This window comes from Homo sapiens, chromosome 4, assembly GCF_000001405.40.
Source record: "Homo sapiens chromosome 4, GRCh38.p14 Primary Assembly".
Classification (NCBI taxonomy): domain Eukaryota; kingdom Metazoa; phylum Chordata; class Mammalia; order Primates; family Hominidae; genus Homo; species Homo sapiens.
Genome location: NC_000004.12, coordinates 60,835,441 through 60,838,857, shown reverse-complemented (window position 1 = coordinate 60,838,857; position 3,417 = coordinate 60,835,441). Strand labels below are relative to the sequence as shown.

The 3,417-nt window shown below is 41.4% G+C and overlaps 1 annotated feature.

Annotated features, from left to right (window-relative positions):
• Window positions 1,242-2,012: an enhancer, noted in NCBI's record as "OCT4-NANOG-H3K27ac-H3K4me1 hESC enhancer chr4:61702564-61703334 (GRCh37/hg19 assembly coordinates)". NCBI's record gives its function as "activates a minimal SCP1, AML or CMV promoter by ChIP-STARR-seq in primed H9 embryonic stem cells {active_cell/tissue: H9 hESC(primed)}" and the evidence as "EXISTENCE:reporter gene assay evidence [ECO:0000049][PMID:30033119]".

Sequence of the window (3,417 nt, the reverse complement as noted above, 5' to 3'; positions counted from 1 at the left end):
AATGTATGTGGGCTGTAAAGTATAAAATATATACTATATGGCTTTTTATAGAGAAAGTTGCCATTGCCAACCCATATATTAGACAACTCATTAAGTCATTTGAGCAGTAGCTAATACATATTGAGGGCTATCAAAAGCACCTGGACATGTACTGAAGCTGGTGATATATCAGTGAGAAAAATGACCCAAATATCTACTTTCATAATCTCATATCTAGTTAGAGGACTCAAAAATAAGATAACTGAATAAATGGTATAGTATATTAGAAAGTAATGAATTCTGCAGGGTAAAATAGAGCAGGGTATGGAAATTTGGGAGTGAGGAGGGGCAGGTAGTCCATGTTCTTGGATAGGGTGGTTAAAGTTGACTTTACTGAGAAGATGCTACTAGTGCAGACTGGAGAAAGATAAGATAACAAGACCTATGGCTCTTTGCAGCAAGTGTGTAGCAGGCAGATAATCAGTGCAAAGGCCCTGAGGTGAGACCTCGTTTTCAAGGAAGATTGAGAAGACAAAATAAGAATTAATTTTGTATGTTCATAAATTATGTCAACACTCTCTGGCATAATTTATTTAAACCATGTTTATTTTACATTTTGGCACATATATACATCTATCTTTCTGCTATTAAAATCTCCCCAAGCTTAATAAGGCATCTGAATTTCTGATCTAAAATGTTATCCACAAGTGTGTGACCTGCTAATTATGCGAAGCTGCTTAATTCCCAAGAGTGCATCACTATGATAAAGCATAGATGAGATTTTAAACTGTCATTAATTCTTTTTTTGCCCTGTACCCACTGATGGCAGATGTCATTAATTTTTTAATTTAAGATAGTACACTATAAAACAGAGAAATAAATAGAAATGCTGCTGGATATCTACTTGCATATATGTGAAGAAAAACATAATCATTAAGCATAAAATACTAATTAATTTTCTTAAAGAATGAAGCCTGAATGAGTTGTCAAGGACTTGGGTGGTAGTCTGTTAACTCTGCATTGTCCAGTCGAGTAGCCATTAATAATATGTGACCATTTAAACTTAAAATTATTTAAAATTAAACAAAACTAACTTTTCAGCTCCTCAGTTACACTAGTCACATTTCAAATGCTCAACAGCCACATGTAAACCACTAGCCACATGTGGCTGTTGAGGACTCGAAATGTGACTATCACTGTGGAAAGTTCTACTGGACAGGGCTCTTACAGAAATACTGAACACGATTGTACTTAAAACTTTGCTGAAGATTTGGAATGTGAATTTATAAGAATAAAATGTCTTCAAAGATGTGTGTGTGTATATATATATATATTATATATATATATATATGAATGAAATAGATGGGGAATATATGGGGAAAATTGGTCAACCATTTAGTACTAGGTATTTTACAGATTGTAAACCCTCTTTAAATTAATAAATGATATCTAAATGAGGAAGAATTTTGCAGTATCACCAAATTAATCTAGTGACTTTCTTGAATGCACATCTAGGGTGCATTTCCTTTTTCCAGAAAAACAGGAAATTCAACTCAATAATTTTAAGTTTTGCTATTAAAATCAGTTTGTTGTTAGATGGCCGAATAGGAGCAGCTCTGGTCTACAGCTCCCAGCGTGAGTGACGCAGAAGAAGGGTGATTTCTGCATTTCCATCTGAGGTACCGGGTTCATCTCACTAGGGAGTGCCAGACAGTGGGCGCAGGACAGTGGGTGTGCACACCGTGCATGAGCCGAAGCAGGGCGACGCATTGCCTCAAAAGGGAAGTGCAAGGGGTCAGGGAGGTCCCTTTCCTAGTCAAAGAAAGGGGTGACAGACGGCACCTGGAAAATCGGGTCACTCCCACCTAATACTGCGCTTTTCCGACGGGCTTAAAAAACGGCGCACCACGAGATTATATCCCGCACCTGGTTCGGAGGGTCCTAGGTCCACAGAGTCTCGCTGATTGCTAGCACAGCAGTCTGAGATCAAACTGCAAGGCGACAGCGAGGCTGGGGGAGGGGCGCCCGCCATTGCCCAGGCTTGATTAGGTAAACAAAGCAGCCGGGAAGCTCGAACTGGGTGGAGCTCACCACAGCTCAAGGAGGCCTGCCTGCCTCTGTAGGCTCCACCTCTGGGGGCAGGGCACAGACAAACAAAAAGACAGCAGTAACCTCTGCAGACTTAAATGTCCCTGTCTGACAGCTTTGAAGAGAGCAGTGGTTCTCCCAGCACGCAGCTGGAGATCTGAGAACCGGCAGACTGCCTCCTCAAGTGGGTCCCTGACCCCTGACCCCCGGAGCAGCCTAACTGGGAGGCACCCCCCAGCAGGGGCACACTGACACCTCACAGGGCCGGGTACTCCAAAAGACCTGCAGCTGTGGGTCCTGTCTGTTAGAAGGAAAACTAACAAACAGAAAGGACATCAACACCAAAAACCCATCTGTACATCACCATCATCAAAGACCAAAAGTAGATAAAACCACAAAGATGGGGAAAAAACAGAGCACAAAAACTGGAAACTCTAAAAAGCAGAGCACCACTCCTCCTCCAAAGGAACGCAGTTCCTCACCAGCAACGGAACAAAGCTGGACGGAGAATGATTTTGACGAGCTGAGAGAAGAAGGCCTCAGACGATCAAATTACTCCGAGCTACGGGAGGACATTCAAACCAAAGGCAAAGAAGTTGAAAACTTTGAAAAAAATTTAGAAGAATGTATAACTAGAATAACCAATACAGAGAAGTGCTTAAAGGAGTTGATGGAGCTGAAAACCAAGGCTAGAGAACTACCTAAAGAATGCAGAAGCCTCAGGAGCTGATGCGATCAACTGGAAGAAAGGGTATCAGTGATGGAAGATGAAATGAATGAAAAGCGAGAAGGGAAGTATAGAGAAAAAAGAATAAAAAGAAATGAGCAAAGCCTCCAAGAAATATGGGACTGTGAAAAGACCAAATCTACTTCTGATTGGTGTACCTGAAAGTGACGGAGAGAATGGAACCAAGTTGGAAAACACTCTGCAGGATATTATCCAGGAGAACTTTGCCAAACTAGCAAGGCAGGCCAACATTCAGATTCAGGAAATACAGAGAACGCCACAAAGATACTCCTCGAGGAGAGCAACTCCAAGACACATAATTGTCAGATTCACCAAAGTTGAAATGAAGGAAAAAATGTTAAGGGCAGCCAGATAGAAAGGTCGGGTTACCCTCAAAGGGAAGCCCATCAGACTAACAGAGGATCTCTTGGCAGAAACTCTACAAGCCAGAAGAGAGTGGGGGACAATATTCAACATTGTTAAAGAAAAGAATTTTCAACCCAGAATTTCATATCCAGCCAAACTAAGCTTCATAAGTGAAGGAGAAATAAAATACTTTACAGACAAGCAAATGCTGAGAGATTTTGTCACCACCAGGCGTGCACTAAAAGAGCTCCTGAAGG